This window comes from Homo sapiens, chromosome 11, assembly GCF_000001405.40.
Source record: "Homo sapiens chromosome 11, GRCh38.p14 Primary Assembly".
NCBI classification, from domain to species: Eukaryota; Metazoa; Chordata; class Mammalia; order Primates; family Hominidae; genus Homo; species Homo sapiens.
In genome coordinates, this window is record NC_000011.10 from 736,524 (window position 1) to 754,141 (window position 17,618).

The following is a 17,618-nucleotide window of genomic DNA, read 5'->3' on the forward strand; positions in this document are numbered from 1 at the left end:
TGGAAGGTTTTGGGGTGTGGCTTCAGGTGAGTCTTCAGGAGGCTTCGTTAGGATTGGGCATGTTTGGGACGGAAGTGGTTCGGGACTGATGGACATAAGAAGGGTTTGGAGTGAGTCTGGAGACTGAGCCCAGCTGTGCTGTCCGCTCACAGGTCCTAGGCAACGACTGTCAGGAAGTTCCCAAAATAAGTCACTCACAACCTCATCGTCCTGGGTAAGTTTCCTGATATGTTCCACAGCTCAATGGTCCATCATTGTTTTTGGTTTTGTTTTGTTTTGTTTTGTTTTGTTTTGTTTTTGAGGCGGAGTCTCGCTCTGTCGCCCAGGCTGGAGTGCAGTGGCGCGATCTCGGCTCACTGCAAGCTCCGCCTCCCGGGTTCACGCCATTCTCCTGCCTCGGCCTCCCGAGTAGCTGGGACTGCAGGCGCCCGCCACCACGCCCGGCTGATTTTTTTTTTTGTATTTTTAGTAGAGACGGGGTTTTACTGTGTTAGCCAGGATGGTCTCGATCTCCTGACCTTGTGATCTGCCCGCCTCGGCCTCCCAAAGTGCTGGGATTACAGGCGGGAGCCACCGCGCCCAGCCTGTTGTGTTTTGTTTTTGAGACAGCGTCTCGCTCTGTTGCCCAGGCTGGAGTGCAGTGGGGCAATTGGGGTTCACTGCAGCCTCGACCTCCTGGGTTCAAGGGATCTTCCCAGTCTCCACCTCCCAAAGTGCTGGGATTACAGGCGCGAGTCACTGCACCCGGCTCCATCTTTTTTTCCCCCCAAAACTGGCTGTCAAGAACAAGGAAAATTAAAAAAAAAAAAAAACACAAGGAAAATTTACCATCTTAACCATTTTCAATTGAACAGTTCAGTGGCATTGAGAAAGTGGAAAAACTCAAACCGTGTTCCCTCTGGTCTCACTGCACAGTAATAATCAGCACAGAGAACTTCTGTTTCTCCCGCACACCAAGCAAGCAGCCAGCTTTGCAACAGACACAGAGGAGTTCTGTTTCTCCCCGCACACCCAGCAAGCGGCCAGCTCCGTTTTTCCTGCACACGGAGCAGGCAGTCAGCTGTGTCTCCCGCACACCGAGCAAGCCCTCAGCTTTGCCACAGACACCGGCTGGGTGTTCTCCCTTTCAGTTCGCTTCTGAGGCTGTCTACCTGCAGTTAGCCCCAGATCCACAGGCTGGGGGCTCAGTCCCACAAGACTGCCCCACACTTCCCACCAGTCGTGAGTCCAGGCCTCTGGAAGGTGTCACCAAATGGCATTAAATTGGGGTTCCCACCACCGCCCTCTTTGGGCTTGATTAATTTGCTAGAGAGGCTCACAGAACTCAGGGAAACACTTTTACCGATTTATCACAAAGAATATTTAAAAGCATAGAAAGACAGCCCGATGAAGAAACGCACAAGGTGGGGTCTGGAAGGGCCCCGAGAGCAGGAGCTTCCGTCGCCGTGGAGTTGGGGTGCTCCACCCTCCCTGCACATAGAGGAGTTCCTGTTCACCTTCCTGTCGGCCCCATGTGTTCAGTTATCTGGACGTTCCCCAAACCCTGTCCTCCTGGGTCTTTTGTGGAGACTTCATTGGATAGGCATGATTGACAGCTGTGTACAAATGGGACTGGACCAAAAGGGTGTGATCTAAACCCAGCAGGGCCTGTCTGTGCAGATTCTTCCCGGCTTCTCTGTGCGGCATTCCTTCCCCTGGGGTGTGGGGCAGGGCCCCTTCAGAAATGTGGGTCTTGTGACCCACAGTCAGACAAGGAAGGTCAGAGAATTTATTTATGGCCATCTCCAAGACAGGCAAGGGGAGGTTAGAGTCCTATTTTTAGTTTTTTGTTTGTTTGTTTGTTTTTTCTTTTTGAGACAGAGTCTTGCTCTGTTGCCCAGATTGGAGTGCAGTGGTGTGATCTCAGCTCACTGCAACCTGCGCCTGCCGGGTTCAAGCGATTCTCCTGCCTCAGCCTCTCAAGTAGCTGGGATTACAGGCGTGAGCCACTGTGCCCAGATAATTTTTTTGTATTTTTAGTAGAGACTGGGTTTCACCATGTTGGCCAGGCTGGTCTTGAACTCCTGACCTCAGGTGATCCGCCTGCCTTGGCCTCCCAAAGTGTTGGGATTACAGGCGTGAGCCACTGCAACCTGCCTATTTTTAGGTTTTTTGGCTGGCTTTGGGGAAAAGTGGTTCTGGTTTCTATGGGAGAAAGAGGAGCCAGAGACAGGAGGGCAGAGAGAAATTTTGCTTCTAAAGGCTTAAAGCGCCTCAACATTATAACAAGAGACTGTAACGAGCTGTGGGAGGTAGGAGGCAGGAACCCTGCATGAAAACCTCTGTGGGGCTGGGTGCACTGGCTCACACCTTAATCCCAGCACTTTAGGAGGCTGAGGCGGGAGGATCACTTAAGCTCAGGATTTTTTTTTTTTTTTTTTTGAGACGGAGTCTTGCTCTGTTGCCCAGGCTGGAGTACAGTGGTGCGATCTTGGCTCACTGCAACCTCTGACTCCCGGGTTCAAGCGATTCTCCTGCCTCAGCCTCCTGAGTAGCTGGGATTACAGGCGCCTGCCACCACGCCTGGCTAATTTTGTATTTTGGTAGAGACGTGATTTCATCATTTTGGCCAGGCTGGTCTCGAACTCCTGACCTCAGGTGATCCGCCCTCCTCAGCTTCCCAAAGTGCTGGGATTATAGACATGAGCTGCCCCGCCCGGCTGAGCTCAGGATTTCAAGACCAGCCAGGGCAACATAGTGAGACCTCGTCTCTAAAAGCTATATATACACCTCTATCGATACGTGGATTGATCGATCTATCTAATCTGTATCTATCTATATCTACTTATCTCTGTGTATCAATCTACCTGCCTATGTATCTATGTCATTGTAATCTATATCTGTCACTCTGTCTATATCCATTATCTAATTTATCAGAATATCACAGGATTAAGTATACTCATAATGTTGTACAGCCATCATCACTACTGTCTCCAGAACTTTCTCATCTTGCAAAACTGAAACTCTGTCCTCATAAAACACCGACTCCCCATTTCCCTCCTCCAGTCCCTGGCACCCACCATTCTGCTTTCTGCCTCTATGGGACCACTCTCCGGACCTCAGATGACTGAATCGCACGGTGCTTGTCCTTTCTGGACTGGCTTGTTTCACTCAGTGTAATATCCTCAAGGTCCATCCGTGTTGTAGCCTATGTCAGAATTCCCTTCCTTTTTTACTTCTTTTTTTTTTTTTTTTTGAGATGGGAGTCTCGTTCTGTCGCCCAGGGCTGGAGTGCAGTGGCTCGATCTCAGCTCACTCCAACCTCTGCCTCCCCGGTTCAAGAGATTCTCCTGCCTCAGCTTTCCAAGTAGCTGGGATTACAGGTGCCCGCCACCATGCCCAGCTAATTTTTGTATTTTTAGTACAGATGGGGTTTCACCATGTTGGTCAGGCTGGTCTCAAACTCCTGACCTCGTGATCTGCCCACTTTGGTGTGCTTGGTGACTTATACCCGTAATCTCAGCACTTTGGGAGGCCAAAGTGGGCAGATTGCCTGAGGTCAGGAATTTGAGACCAGCATGGCCAACATGGTGAAACCCTGCCTTTACTAAAAATACAAAAATTTGGCTGGCCATGGCTGGGCGTGGTGGCTCCCATCTGTAAGCCCAGCACTTTGGGAGGCCAAGGCAGGCAGATCACAAGGTCAGGAGTTCGAAACCAGCCTGGCCAACATGGTAAAAACCCATCTCTACTAAAAATACAAAAATTAGGCCGGGCGCGGTGGCTCATGCCTGTAATCCCAGCACTTTGGGAGGCCGAGGCGGGCGGATCATGAGGTCAGGAGATCGAGACCCTCCTGGCTAACATGGTGAAACCCTGTCTCTACTAAAAAAAATACAAAAAAAATTAGCCAGGCGTGGTGGTGGGCGCCTGTAGTCCCAGCTACTCAGGAGGCTGAGGCAGGAGAATGGCGTGAACCCAGGAGGCGGAGCTTGCAGTGAGCTGAGTTCACGCCACTGCATTCCAGCCTGGGCGACAGAGCGAGACTCCATCTCAAAAAACAAACAAACAAAAAAAAAACAAAACAAAAATTAGCCGGGCATGGTGGCAGACACCTGTAATCCCAGCTACTTGAGAGGCTGAGAAAGGAGAACAGCTTGAACCTGGGAGGTAGAGGTTGCAGTGAGCCAAGATCGTGCCACTGTACTCCAGCCTGGGCAACAGAATGAAACTGTCCCCCCTCCAAAAAAAAAAAATTAGCCCAGTGTGGTAGTGGGCACCTGTAATCCCAGCTACTTGGGAGACTGAGAGAGGAGACCCACTTGAACCCGGGAGGCGAAGGCTGCAGTGAGCCAAGATCATGCCACTGCACTCCAGCCTGCGAGACAGAGCGAAACTCTGTCTCAAAAAAAAAGCTGGCCATGGTGGCTCACGCCTATAATCCCAGCACTTTGGGAGGCCGAGGCGGGCAAATCATCTGAGGTCGAGGGTTCGAGACCAGCCTGACCAACATGGGAAAACCCCGTCTCTACTAAAAATACAAAATTAGCTGAGTTTGGTGGTGCATGCCTGTAACCCCAGCTACTTGAGAGGCTGAGGCAGGAGAATCACCTGAACCTGGGAGGCAGAAGTTGCGGTGAGCTGAGATCACGCCATTGCACTCCAGCCTGGGCAACAGGAGCAAAACTCCATCTCAAACCAAAAAAAAAAAAAAAGAGTTCAAGGCAAGTCCATAATGTGAAAACAAGTTTATCAGGCCAGGCGCGGTGGCTCACGCCTGTAATCCCAGCACTTTGGGAGGCTGAGGCGGGTGGATCACCTAAGGTCAGGAGCTCGAGACCAGTTTGGCTAACATGGTGAAACCTCGTCTCTACTAAAAATACAAAAATCAACCGGGTGTTGTGGTGTGTGCCTGCAGTCCCAGGTACTTGGGAGGCTGAGGCAGGAGAATCGCCTGAACCCAGGAGGAAGAGGTTGAGGGGAGCCGAGATCGTGCCATTGCACTCCAGCCTGAACAACAAGAACAAGACTCCATCTCAAAAAAAAAAAAAAAAAAGAAAAAAGAATAAATAGAAAAGTTTATCAGAGAAGTAAAGAAACTGAAGGATGTCTACTCCATAGGCAGAGCAGGGGCCTGGGGCATAGGCTGTTCTACTGAGCATACTTACGGTTCTTTCTTTATTATATGCTAAACAAGGGGTGGATTATTCATGAGTTTTCCAGGAAAGGGGTGGGTAGTTCCCAGAACTGAGGGTTCCTCCTCTTTTAGATTATATAGAGTAACTTTCTGACATTGCCATGGCATTTGTAAACTCTCATGGCCCTAGTGGGAGTGTCTCTTAGCATGCTAATGCATTATCATTAGCTCATAATGAGCAGTGAGGACGACCAGAGGTCACTTTTTTTTTTTCTTTTTTTTCCGAGACGGAGTCTTGCTCTGTTGCCCAGGCTGGAATGCAGTGGCGTGATCTGGGCTCACTGCAAGCTCCGCCTCCCGGGTTCACGCCATTCTCCTGCCTCAGCCTCCCCAGTAGCTGGGACTACGGGTGCCTGCCACCTCGCCTGGCTAATTTTTTGTATTTTTAGTAGAGACAGGGTTTCACTGTATTAGCCAGGATGGTCTCGATCTCCTGACCTGGTGATCCGCCTGCCTTGGCCTCCCAAAGAGCTGGGATTACAGGCGTGAGCCACCACGCCCAGCCGACCAGAGGTCACTTTCATCACCATCTTGGTTTTGGTAGGGTTAGACTTCTTTATCATGACTTGTTTTATCAGCAAGGTCTTTGTGACCTGTATCTTGTGCTGACTTCCTATCTCATCCAATGACTAAGAATGCCTGACCTCCTGGGAATGCAGCCCAGCATGTCTCAGACTCATTTTACCCCACCTCTATTCAAGATGGATTTGCTCTGGTTCAAACATCTCTGACACCTTGGGCTCCAAAGCACTGGGAATGCAGGTGTGAGCTGCCACATTCTGTGTGTATGTGGGCCTTCTTTCACTCACCACATCCCTTGGGGGCCATCCCTTTGTATAGTGGGCAATGTTCCCCTTTGTGGAGAGGCTGAATCCCTTTGTATGGTGGACAGTGCTCCACTTTGTGGAGGGGCTGCTCCCCTTTGTATAGTGGGCGGTGCTCCCTTTGTGGAGGGGCTGTTCCCTTTGTATGGTGGGTAGTGCTCCACTTTGTATGGTGGGCAGTGCTCCCTTTGGTGGGTAGTGCTCCACTTTGTATAGTGGGCAGTGATCCCTTTGTATAGTGGGTAGTGCTCTCCTTTGTGGAGGGGCTGCTCCCCTTTGTATGGTAGGCAGTGCTCCCTTTCTATGGTGGGCAGTGCTCCCTTTGTATGGTGGGTAGTGCTCCACTTTGTGGAGGGGCTGCAGTTTGGCCCATTCTCCTGCTGATGGACATTTGGGTTGTTTCCAGTTTGGACCTTTTGTCAATAAAGCCACTATGAGGATCTGTGTGCCAATCTTCTTGTGGAGAACTTTTTATTGAGGAGTGGAACTGCCAGTTCCCATGGTAAGTACATGCTTAAGTTTATGAGAAACCATAGGACAATTTTCCACAGCTCATTTTGTTCCACTTTCTTTTTTCTTTCTTTTTTTTTTTTGAGGTGGAGTCTCGCTCTGTTGCCCAGGCTGGAGTGCAGTAGCGCAATCTTGGCTCACTGCAACCTCCGCCCCCCAGGTTCAAGCAATCCTCCTGCCTCAGCTTCCCTAGTAGCTGGGACTACAGGCACATGCCACGATGCCTGGCTAATTTTTTTTTTTTTTTTTTTTTTTTTTTTGAGATGGAGTCTCGCTCTGTCGCCCAGGCTGGAGTGCAGTGGCGCGATCTCGGCTCACTGCAAGCTCTGCCTCTCAGGTTCATGCCATTCTCCTGCCTCAGCCTCCCGAGTAGCTGGGACTACAGGCACCTGCCACCATGCCCGGCTAATTTTTTGTATATTTAGTAGAGACAGGGTTTCACTGTGTTAGCCAGGATAGTCTCGATCTCCTGACCTCGTGATCTGCCTGCCCCGGCCTCCCAAAGAGCTGCGATTACAGGCGTGAGCCACTGCACCCAGCCTAATTTTTGTATTTTTAGTAAAGACGGGGTTTCACCATGTTGGCCAGGCTGGTCTCGAACTCCTGACCACAGGTGATCACCTGTCTCGACCTCCCAAAGTGCTGGGATTACAGGCGCGAGCCACCGTACCCAGCCTTTGTTCCACTTTCATTCCCACCAGCAGCGCATGGGTGTTCCTGGAGCTCCATGTCCTCACTGGCACTTGGTGTTGCCAGTCTTTTGTTCTCACTATGATCCATGTGGACAGATCTCATGGTGGTTTTCATTTGCATTTCCCTAATAAATACTGTATACCACCAAGCTTGTCCAGCCCTTGGCCTGCAGGCCGCATGTGGCCCAACACGAATTCGCAACCTTTCTTAGAACATGAGATTTTTTATTTGCAATTTTTTTTAAGCTCATCAGTTATTGTTAGTATATTTTACATGTGGCCCAAGACAGTTCTTCCAGTGTGGCAAGGGAAGACAAAAGATGGCTACCTGCTCTATACCTTCTTCTGTGATGTATATTTCCTATTTTTGCATTTCAATGGAGAGAAGAAAGTCCTCTCAACAGATGCTGGAACAGGTGGAGAAAAACTACTTTCCATATCCAGGTCACGGAGACAAAAATAAAGGGGGCCAGGCGCGGTAGAGAAAAACTACCTTCCACTTCTAGGTCACAGAGACAAAAATCAAGGGGGCCCTGTGCGGTGGCTCATGTGAAACCCCGTCTCTACTAAAAATACAAAAAATTAGCCGGGCGTGGTAGTGGGCGCCTGTAGTCCCAGCTACTCGGGAGGCTGAGGCAAGACAATGTCATGAACCTGGGAGGCGGAGCTTGCAGTGAGCCGAGATCGTGCCACTGCACTCCAGCCTGGGCGACAGAGGGAGACTCCGTCTCAAAAAAAAAAAAACAACAAAAAAAAAACAAACAAACTGGAGTGGCCTCAAAGACTCTTAACATAACAGCTGAAAACCAAGACATCATAAGAAAATATTTTTGAGGCCGGGCGCGGTGGCTCACGCCTGTAATCCCAGCACTTTGGGAGGCCGAGGCGGGCGGATCACGAGGTCAGGAGATCGAGACCATCCTGGCTAACACGATGAAACCCCGTCTCTACTAAAAATACAAAAAATTTAGCCGGGCGAGGTGGCGGGTGCCTGTAATCCCAGCTACTCGGGAGGCTGAGGCAGGAGAATGGCGTGAACCCCAGGGGGCGGAGCCTGCAGTGAGCCGAGATTGCGCCACTGCACTCCAGCCTGGGCGACAGCGAGACTCCGTCTCAAAAAAAAAAAAAAAAAAAAATATTTTTGTTGGCTGGGCGTGGTGACTCACGCCTATAATCCCAGCACTTTGGGAGACTAGGGTGGGCGGATCACGAGGTCAGGAGATTGAGACCATCCTGGCTAACACGGTGAAACTCTGTCTCTACTAAAAATACAAAAGTTAGCTGGGCGTTGGCCGGGCGCAGTTGCTTAACACCTGTAATCCCAGCACTTTGGGAGGCCGAGGCAGGTGGAACACGAGGTCAGGAGTTTGAGATCAGCCTGGGCAACACGGTGAAACCCCGTCTCTACTAAAAATACAAAAGTAGCCGGGCATGGTGGCCCATGCCTGTAATCCCAGCTACTCGGGAGGCTGAGGCAGGAGAATCGCTTGAACCTGGGAGGCGGAGGATGCGGTGAGCTGAGATCGCGCCATTGCACTCCAGCCTGGGCAACAAGAGTAAATCTCCATCTCACCAGAAAAAAAAAAAAATTTGTCACTTTGGAGCAAGCAAAGACTCCTTAGAGAAGATACCAAAAAAGAGGAGTAAATATAAAATTAAAACTTGATAAATTGAACTTAATCAAAATAAAAAGCTAACGTTCATTAAAGACACTATTAAAATGAAAAGGGAACACATGCTGAGAGGAAGTATTGAAACCACCTTTGCAAAATTATAACTAAGGAAATTATGACAGTGAAAGATAACAGACTTAACCAATTCCATCTTGTTTCTAACCTTCAAACGGTCCTTGTCCATTACTGGCCATAGGCCAAACAAGTCTTGGGAAGGAATTTAATTTATAGTTTAAATAATAGCCCTTCCCCAAAACTAGACTGTTCTTGTAAAATGAATGAAAGGCCACCAGCCACCAAGTTAGAATGAGAGGGGCTGGAAGTCTAAATATTATCAGCCATTATTCTGGAGGTCATAAGATAAGATTTGCAACTTCCCCAAGATATCAACACTACTGTGAACCTAGGGTTGGCCTTTTTTTTTTTTTTAAATGGAGTCTCGTTCTGTAGCCCAGGTTAGTGTACAGAGGGACAATCTCGGCTCACTGCAACCTCCACCTCCCAGGTTCAAGCCATTCTCCTGCCTCAGCCTCCCAAGTAGCTGGGATTACAGCCATGTGCCACCACGCCTGGCTAATTTTGTATTTTTAGTAGAGACGGGGTTTTGCATGTTGGCCACGCTGGTCTCCAACTCCTGACCTCAAGTGATCGCCTGCTTTGGCCTTTCAATGTGCTGGGATTCCAGGCCTGAGCCACCGCGTCAGCCTAGGATTTGCCTTTTAAGAAGTCTTTTCCGCCGGGCGCGGTGGCTCACGCCTGGAATCCCAGCACTTTGGGAGACTGAGGTGGGCGGATCACGAGGTCAGGAGATCGAGACCATGCTGGCCAACATGATGAAACCCCGTCTGTACTAAAAATACAAAAATTAGCCGGGCGTGGTGGTGAGCGCCTGTAATTCCAGCTACTCGGGAGGCTGAGGCAGGAAAATCGCTCGAACCCGGGAGGCGGAGGTTGTAGTTAGCCAAGATCGCGCCACTGCACTCCAGCCTGGGCAACAAGGGCGAGATTCCGTCTCAAAAAAAAAAAAAAGTCTTTTCAGGTTTTTGCATTTCTGACAACCGGATGGCCCCACCTGGACCTGCCAACCAGTTGTGTGGCCTCTACCCAGGGACTGACTCAGCATAAGCGGACAGCTTCGACTCCCTGTGATTTCATCCCTAGCTGACCAGTCAGCACTTCTGACTCACTGGCCCCCTACCCACCAAATTATTCTTAAATACTGGGATCCCCGAGTTTTGGGGAGACTGATTTGAGGAATAAAACTCTGGTCTCCCGAACAATCGGCTCTGTGTGAATTATGCTTTCTCTATTGCAATTCCCCTGTCTTGACAATAGACTCTGTCCCGGCAGCTGGCAAGGCGAACCCATGGGGCGGTTACAGTGTCTGCAACGCAGACACAAGCGACAGAGACTTGATCAGAATATACAAGGAACTCTGCAAGTCAGCGATGGTAAGAAGCAGGGCAGCTGGGCCTCCTACGCCTGCCTCGCCGTTCGGTCCCCCGGACACCTCTGGGCTTAGGACTCAGGGGAACAGATTCCCAGAAGCAGGTTCCCCGCCGCGTCCGGCGCCCGGGCTCTGCAGCCGCCCCCTGCTCTGCCTCCTGCACCCGCAGGGCGTCCCCCGCCGCTCCCTCCCCTGCTTCCTGCAGCGGCCCCCGACCCCAGTCCTGGCCCCACCATGGATCCTGCATCGCCGGGTTCGGCCCTGGCGGGTTCAGCCCCGCAGAGTCGGCACCCGGGCCAGGTCCATCTCCTCCAGCCCTCCCGGTGCGTCCCGCGGGGCAGGAAGGAGGCGAGGCCCAGCCGCCCCGTGTCGTGCAGGTGTTTTCCCGGGCCCGTCCGCGGCGGCTGCTGAGGACCTGGGGAGACCCAGCCTGTAGGATCCGCAGCTGCGGTGCGCGGCCGGCAGTGGCGCTCGGGCTTCGTCCCCGGGGGCGGGGCTTCGTCCAGGCGCGCAGGGACCAGCGGGCCTCGCCCTCCCGCGCCGCTTTCCGATTGGCAGCCGCCCGCGGGGCATTGTGGGCCGTCCGCGCGCCCGTCCCGTCGCCGCCGCCGCCGCCGCAGACCCCTCGGTCTTGCTATGTCGAGCTCACCCGTGAAGCGTCAGAGGATGGAGTCCGCGCTGGACCAGCTCAAGCAGTTCACCACCGTGGTGGCCGACACGGGCGACTTCCACGGTGAGGACGGCGCGGAGCCCGGGCGCGGCGCAAGCGCCCTCCAGAGGCCCCGGCGCCCCGATTTCCCCGGGTCTCCCGTTCCGGGACGCGGACCGGGTGGCGGTGCCCCGGGCGGCTCGTTCCGGGAGGAATGAGCGCAGGTGCCGGATGTTGGGGCCAGGGACAGCCGTGAGGGGAGCGGGGCCCGGGTCGGCCGTGAGAGGCGCAGGGCCAGCGGCGACCGTGAGGGGAACGGGGCCCGGGTCGGCCGTGAGGGAGCAGGGCCGGGGGCAGCCGTGAGGAGCTGGGGTCAGCCGTGAGGGGCTCGGTGCTGGGGTCAGCGGTGCGGGCGGTACTGACGGGTCCTTGCGAGCCGTGGGGCACGAAGCCGGAGCCCCAGCCTCGCCCTCCGCCCAGGGTGGGGTCGGCTGCGCCCTCAGACCCCGCACCCGGGACGGGCTGTGGGCAGCCCGCGGGAGCCCCTCTGTGCACCTTCATGGGTCGAGGCAGCTTTCAGAGCCTTTGAGTTCAGGAGAGATTCAGGGTAGAGCTTCGAGCTGACTTCCACGTGGCCAGTTTGTGGTCAGCGAGATGCAATTTTGTTGGGCTGATGTCTGCAGAGCGGGGACATCAGCTAGCTCTGACCAGAAGCTGCCAGTGCTGCCATCGCCCTTGAGCCCTGCGGTGCCCAGTGGGACAACTCCGTGGGCGGCAGGTGCCCGGCCTGCTGGACAGCCACCGCCAGACGCACCGGGTGGGTAAAAGCCGGTGCCCATGAAAGCACAGGGTTGGTACACTGTTAAATACTGGATTTTCCTGGGCTTGAGTTGTTTACATTGGAGAGAACTTGGAAAATACAAAGAAGGATTATTTATTAATACTTAGCTCTTCTGTCCTCTGCAGTGCAGAGTAGACGAGCCTTGTGTCTATGTTTTGTTGAGAACAAGTAATATTTTTTAAGAAAATCATGAAACGCTTCATGGATGAATGCTGCGAGCACCTAATACGGAAGTGACTTCCTCTCTTTTCTGCTTTCTCATGGTGACTTGAGAAACAGGCTTTAATTCCTCTTTGGTAACTGAGTAAGGGCATTGTTTATCTAGCAGAGCCTAGAGAGTGAATTGGCATGTTTGGCTGCTTAACCATAAAATATGGGGATTCAGTGACTGGCTTGGGGTGCCACAGTCTGCTCCGGACCCCTCTTTGGGAGATCCAAAGCTAGAGCTGTGAATCCCTCACACACACAGCCCCCCCGTTGTAGTCCAGACCTCTCTTCATAAGAAAGAAAGCTCCAGAAAAGGGGCTACACATTTTTCTGCTGCTCAGTTTTTTCCCTTCTTAGCACTGAGAATAATTTGCAGTTTGCCTGGTGGACAGAGCGCTCATCTGTATTGTTCCTTACTGGCCCTCACCAGTTAGGGCAGAGCTGGTGCGGAGTGTCAGGTCCATTACACTTGGCAGTGCAGGGCCAATAAAGATGGATTTTCCTAAACCCACACCCACAGGAGGGCTGGGGAGTCCTGGGTTTCTGGTTTTGTTTTGTATTGTTTTTTAAGAAAACTTCTGGCCCAGCGAGGTGGCTCACGCCTGTAATCCCAGCACTTTGGGAGGTTGAGGCAGGTGGATCACGAGGTCAGGAGTTCGAGACCAGCCTGACCAACATGGTGAAACCCCGTCTCTACTAAAAATACAAAAATTAGCTGGGTGCGGTGTTGCATGCTTGTAATCCCAGCTACTTGGGAGGCTGAGGCAGGAGAATTGCTGAACCCAGAAGGCGGAGGTTGCAGTGAGCCAAGATCACACCACTGCACTCCAGCCTGGGCGACAGAGCAAAACTCCGTCTCAAAAAAAAAAAAAAAAAAATCTTCTAAACCCAAGTTGTGACATTTTTTTTTAATGAATATTAACAAAAAAATACATTCATTGATAGTATATGTTCATAAATGTTATATAGTTGTAAAATAGTCTGTTGGGTTTGTGATCTGTAGTTTGTGAAGTGAAGGTTCTTAACTCCTTGTGGGAGGGAGGCACAGGCCTCTGGAAATAGAATCAAAGCTGTGAATGCTCTTCCCACAATGTGATCCTCCCCATTTTGCATTCAGTTTAAGGATCCCTGGACCCTGAAACCCATTTTTGCCCCAATGGGCCTTGGTTTTGTTTTAATTTTGTAAAAGCCATTTGCTAAAAGCTGACTTTATCCAGGGGTGATTTTACAGGACGAAATGGGCTGTTTTCAGTGCCTCATTCAGTGCATTCTGGCAGACCTGTGTTAGCACTGTGCCAGATGTCATGTTGAAATGAGTATAGATGCACAACAGGCTTTTTCTTAACTTGTCATGTTGAAATGGGTATAGATGCACAGAAGTTGCAAAATCAGCCCATACAGTCCTGTGAACCCTTCAACCACTGTCCCCCATGGTGACATCTCATGTGACCATGGCATGGCATCCACACCGGGAAGTGGGCACTGCTGTGGTGCTGATGCTGTTATAGACTGCAGGCCTGGCTCAGGGCTCCCCAGTTTCCCCCTGCACTGGGGCAAGGAGGCTATGTGACAGTTTCATAAAGTGTGTAAATTCCTGGACCACTGTGACAGGACATAGCTGTCCCATTGTCACTGAGATCCCCGTGTCCCTCAGAGACCCCTCATTCCCTGTTCCTTGGCAACCTCTAACCTGTTCTCTACCTCTATAGTTTTGTCATTAAAGGACCCTTTGAAAGTACTTATTCCAGCCTGCGCAACATGGTAAAACCCCATCTCTACAAAAAGGAAGAAAAAAAAATAGCCAGGCGTATTGGTGCACACCGTAGTCCTAGCTACTCAGGAGGCTGAGTTGGGAGGATCACTTAAGCCCAGGAGGTTGAGGCAGCAGTGAGCTGTGACTGCGCCACTGCACTCCAGCTTAGGAGACAAAGTGAGACCCTGTCTCAAAAAAAAAAAAAGATATTTATTTGCCAAATAAAGTTACTGAACTTGTGAACTTCGGCCGGGTGTGGTGGCTCAAGCCTGTAATCCGAGCACTTTGGGAGGCCGAGGCAGGCCGATCATGAGGTCAGGAGATCCAGACCATCCTGGCTAACACGGTGAAACCCCATCTCTACTAAAAATACAAAAAAATTATCTGGGCGTGGTGGCGGGCGCCTGTAGTCCCAGCTACTCGGGAGGCTGAGGCAGGAGAATGGTGCGAACCTGGGAGGCGGAGCTTGCAATGAGCCGAGATCGCGCCACTGCACTCCAGCCTGGGCGACAGAGCGAGACTCTGTCTCAAAAGAAAAAAAAAAAAGTTACTGAACTGGCTAATCTGGAGCAATGGGCCATTCTATGGGTGTCAATGGCCATAACTCTTCACCTCCACTTTCCATTTGGACAGCCAGATGAACAAGACCCCAGGTTAAGCCTCGTTGGCTTCTTTGAATTCCTAGCTTGGTTATGTGAGAAATAACTAATGTGTTAAAAGAAACAATAGTTTTAAGAATAAAGAATCCTTGGGTTTTTGTTTTTGGGGTTTTTTTTGAGACAGGGTCTTGCTCTGTCACCCAGGCTGTATAGTGGTGCAATCACGTGGTGCAACACGGCTAACTGCAGCCTTGACCTCCTGGGCTGAGGTGATCCCCCCACCTCAGCCTCCCAAGTAGCTGGGACTACAGATGTGCGCCACCACTCCCAGCTAACAATCCTTGCTGAAGATAACCATGTGGTATCTGTGTTGAAGTCAAAATAAAATGTAGAGACGAATCTCTAAATTCAACGTTTTATTTGGGAAGAAAAAATTGCAGTTCAAGCAGACTGGGTGGTCTTCGATCTGTCCAAAGAACAAGAGAAAGTTGGGGCCAGCCTCGGTGGCTCATGCGTATAATCCCCAGCACTTTGGGAGGCTGAGGCAGAAGGATTGTTTGGGCCTAGCAGTTCGGGACCAGCCTGGGCAACACAGTGAGACCACATCTCTACAAAAAATTTTTGGCTGGTGGCTTACGCCTGTAATCACAGCACTTTGGGAGGCCGAGGAGGGTGGATCACCTGAGGTCAAGAGATCGAGACCAGCCTGGCCAACATGGTGAAACCCCATCTCTACTAAAAATACAAAAAATTAGCCGGGTATGGTGGCAGGTGCCTGTAATCCCAGCTACTCGAGAGGCTGAGGCGAGATAATTGCTTGAACCTGGAAGACGGAGGTTGCAGTGAGCCGGGATCACGCCACTGCACTCTAGCCTGGGCGACAGAGCGAGACTCCATCTCAAAATAACAATAATAATAATAATAAACCATCAACCTCATTTTGATGGTAATTGATGTGTGTGCATGCATGCATGTGTGTGTACACAGTTCCTGTCTCATAACTCCCACAGCCCTGTTATAATGTTGGGGCACTCTAGGCCTCAGGAGCAGGCCTTGGAAAACAGAATTTCCATCACTGACCTTCTCCTCTCCTTTCACCTGTTCCTTTCTCTCTTCAAGGGAGGAATCTTTCCTGCCTGTTTTGGAGCTGTCCATAAATAAATTATCTACTTGCTTTTCTTTTCTTTTTTTTTGGAGGCGGAGTCTCGCTCTGTCGCCCAGGCTGGAGTCAGTGGCGTGATCTCAGCTCACTGCAAGCTCCACCTTCCGGGTTCACGCCATTCTTCTGCCTCAGCCTCCAGAGTAGCTGGGACTACAGGCGCCCGCCACCACGCCCACCTAATTTTTTGTATTTTTTTTTTTTTTTTAGTAGAGATGGGGTTTCACCGTGTTAGCCAGGATGGTCTGGATCTCCTGACCTCGTGATCTGCCCGCCTCGGCCTCCTAAAGTGCTGGGATTACAGGCACCAGCCACCGCGCCCGGCCGTCTACTTGCTTTTCTAATTGTGGGTCCTAAGACCCTCATTTCAAAAGGGGTCCCATCACATACCCTGGAGGAAGGAATGTTGCACGGAGGACGGTAAGAAGGTGAACACAGAGGCGTTGCTGGGTTTCCTCACTCATTAGATGATAATATTTCAACAGGGCTGTCCATACTTCAGTCATGTCTCTCCAGTAGAGTCTCCATAAAAGGCCCAAGAGGACAGGGTTCAGGGAGCTTCCAAATACCTGAACACATGGAGCCTCCTGAAGGGTGGTGCACCCAGGGTGGGCATGGAGGCACCGTGCCCCTTCTCACATGCCTTGCCCTATGCATCTCTTCCTCTGTGTCCTTTGTATAATAAGCCAGTACATGTAAGTGAGTGTTTCCCTTACTTCTGTGATCTGCTCCAGCAAATTAATGGAACACAAAGGTTAATTCAAGTTGACAACCCCAAGTTGAAGCCAGTGGATCAGAAGTTCTGGAGCCCAGACTTGTGACGGGTGGGAATGGAGAATGGTTGGTTGGGACTAAGCCTTCAACCTGTGGGATCTGAGGCTGTCTCCAGGTAGACAGGGTTGGAATTGAATTGGAGGATGCCCAGCTGGTATCCACTGAAGAATTAATTGCTTGTTTGGTGCGTGGGGAGAAACCCCCACACATCGGTCACAGAAGTCCTCTCTGTTGATTATTCTGGTATGAGAGCAGAGGAATGCAGTTCAGGTTGTTTCTTCAGAGGCCGGGCGCAGTGGCTCACGTCTGTAATCCCAGCAATTTGGGAGGCCAAGGTGGGTGGATCACCTGAGGTCAGGAGTTCGAGACCAGCCCGGCCAACATGGCAAAACCCCGTCTCTACTAAAAATACAAAAAAAAAAGGCCGGGTGTGGTGGCTCACACCTGTAACCCCAGCACTTTGGGAGGCTGAGGCGGGCGGATCATGAGGTCAGGAGATCGAGACCATCCTGGCTAACACGGTGAAACCCCATCTCTACTAAAAATACAAAAAACTAGCCGGCCGCAGTGGCGGGCGCCTGTAGTCCCAGCTACTCGGGAGGCTGAGGCAGGAGAATGGCGTGAACCCGGGAGGCAGAGCTTGCAGTGAGCCGAGATGGCGCCACTGCAGTCCGGCGTGGGTGAAAGAGCGAGACTCCGTCTCAAAAAAATAAAAATACAAATACAAAAAAAAAAACACAAAAAACCATAGCCTGGCGTGGTGGCTCGTGCCTGTAATCCCAGCTACTCATGGGGCTGAGGCAGGAGAATTACTTGAACCTGGGAGTTGGAGGTTGCAGTGAGCTGAGCTTGCGCCACTGCACTCCAGCCTGGGCAACAGTGCAAGACTCCGTCTCGGAAAAAAATAAAAAATAAATACAAGTACAAAAATTAGCCAGGCATCATGGTGTGAGCCTGTAGTCCCAGCTACTGAGGACGCTGAGGTAGGAGAATCACTTGAACCCTGGAGGAGGAGGTTGCAGTGAGGCGAGATCATTTTACTGCACTCCAGCCTGGATGACAGAGTGAGACTCTGTGTCAGAAAAAAAAAAAAAGCTACTCAGTGGCTACAAGTTTGGACGTTTTGAACTGTTTAGTTGGTTACTCTGAAGAAAAAAACTTTTTTATTTTTTTTTGCAACAGAGTCTTGCTCCATTGCCCAGGCTGTAGTGCAGTGGCACAATCTCGGCTCACTGCAACCTCCACCTCCCGGGTCCAAGTGATTTTCCTGCCACAGCCTCCCGAGTAGCTGGGATTATAGGCATGCACCACCAC

At 51.3% G+C, this 17,618-nt stretch overlaps 1 protein-coding gene and 1 long non-coding RNA gene across 2 annotated transcripts in view, besides 9 other annotated features; both read left to right on the top strand.

The window, feature by feature from the left end:
* LOC105376509 (uncharacterized) lies at positions 1-10,439 on the top strand. Its single transcript, XR_930962.3, has 3 exons — positions 1-214; positions 6,407-6,502; positions 10,226-10,439. It is a non-coding gene; the product is annotated as an uncharacterized LOC105376509 (long non-coding RNA).
* Positions 6,448-7,147: an enhancer, noted in NCBI's record as "NANOG-H3K27ac-H3K4me1 hESC enhancer chr11:742971-743670 (GRCh37/hg19 assembly coordinates)". NCBI's record gives its function as "activates a minimal SCP1, AML or CMV promoter by ChIP-STARR-seq in naive H9 embryonic stem cells {active_cell/tissue: H9 hESC(naive)}" and the evidence as "EXISTENCE:reporter gene assay evidence [ECO:0000049][PMID:30033119]".
* Positions 7,148-7,846: an enhancer, noted in NCBI's record as "OCT4-NANOG-H3K27ac-H3K4me1 hESC enhancer chr11:743671-744369 (GRCh37/hg19 assembly coordinates)". NCBI's record gives its function as "activates a minimal SCP1, AML or CMV promoter by ChIP-STARR-seq in naive and primed H9 embryonic stem cells {active_cell/tissue: H9 hESC(naive and primed)}" and the evidence as "EXISTENCE:reporter gene assay evidence [ECO:0000049][PMID:30033119]".
* Positions 9,925-10,573: an enhancer, noted in NCBI's record as "H3K27ac-H3K4me1 hESC enhancer chr11:746448-747096 (GRCh37/hg19 assembly coordinates)". NCBI's record gives its function as "activates a minimal SCP1, AML or CMV promoter by ChIP-STARR-seq in naive H9 embryonic stem cells {active_cell/tissue: H9 hESC(naive)}" and the evidence as "EXISTENCE:reporter gene assay evidence [ECO:0000049][PMID:30033119]".
* Positions 9,925-11,351: a biological region, named in NCBI's record as "hESC enhancers GRCh37_chr11:746448-747096 and GRCh37_chr11:747097-747745".
* Positions 10,212-10,271: an enhancer, noted in NCBI's record as "active region_4277". NCBI's record gives its function as "activates an Ori minimal core promoter by ATAC-STARR-seq in GM12878 lymphoblastoid cells {active_cell/tissue: GM12878}" and the evidence as "EXISTENCE:reporter gene assay evidence [ECO:0000049][PMID:35858748]".
* Positions 10,402-11,001: a silencer, noted in NCBI's record as "silent region_3023". NCBI's record gives its function as "represses an Ori minimal core promoter by ATAC-STARR-seq in GM12878 lymphoblastoid cells {active_cell/tissue: GM12878}" and the evidence as "EXISTENCE:reporter gene assay evidence [ECO:0000049][PMID:35858748]".
* Positions 10,574-11,222: an enhancer, noted in NCBI's record as "NANOG-H3K27ac-H3K4me1 hESC enhancer chr11:747097-747745 (GRCh37/hg19 assembly coordinates)". NCBI's record gives its function as "activates a minimal SCP1, AML or CMV promoter by ChIP-STARR-seq in naive H9 embryonic stem cells {active_cell/tissue: H9 hESC(naive)}" and the evidence as "EXISTENCE:reporter gene assay evidence [ECO:0000049][PMID:30033119]".
* TALDO1 (transaldolase 1) overlaps positions 10,941-17,618 on the top strand; it is a 17,549-nt gene continuing 10,871 nt past the window's right edge. The window contains exon 1 of the mRNA NM_006755.2: positions 10,941-11,055. Coding sequence (NP_006746.1) covers positions 10,959-11,055 — 97 coding nt within the window. The 5' untranslated portion in view covers positions 10,941-10,958. The remainder of the gene's footprint in view (positions 11,056-17,618) is intronic.
* Positions 11,062-11,351: a silencer, noted in NCBI's record as "silent region_3024". NCBI's record gives its function as "represses an Ori minimal core promoter by ATAC-STARR-seq in GM12878 lymphoblastoid cells {active_cell/tissue: GM12878}" and the evidence as "EXISTENCE:reporter gene assay evidence [ECO:0000049][PMID:35858748]".
* Positions 11,452-11,541: a silencer, noted in NCBI's record as "silent region_3025". NCBI's record gives its function as "represses an Ori minimal core promoter by ATAC-STARR-seq in GM12878 lymphoblastoid cells {active_cell/tissue: GM12878}" and the evidence as "EXISTENCE:reporter gene assay evidence [ECO:0000049][PMID:35858748]".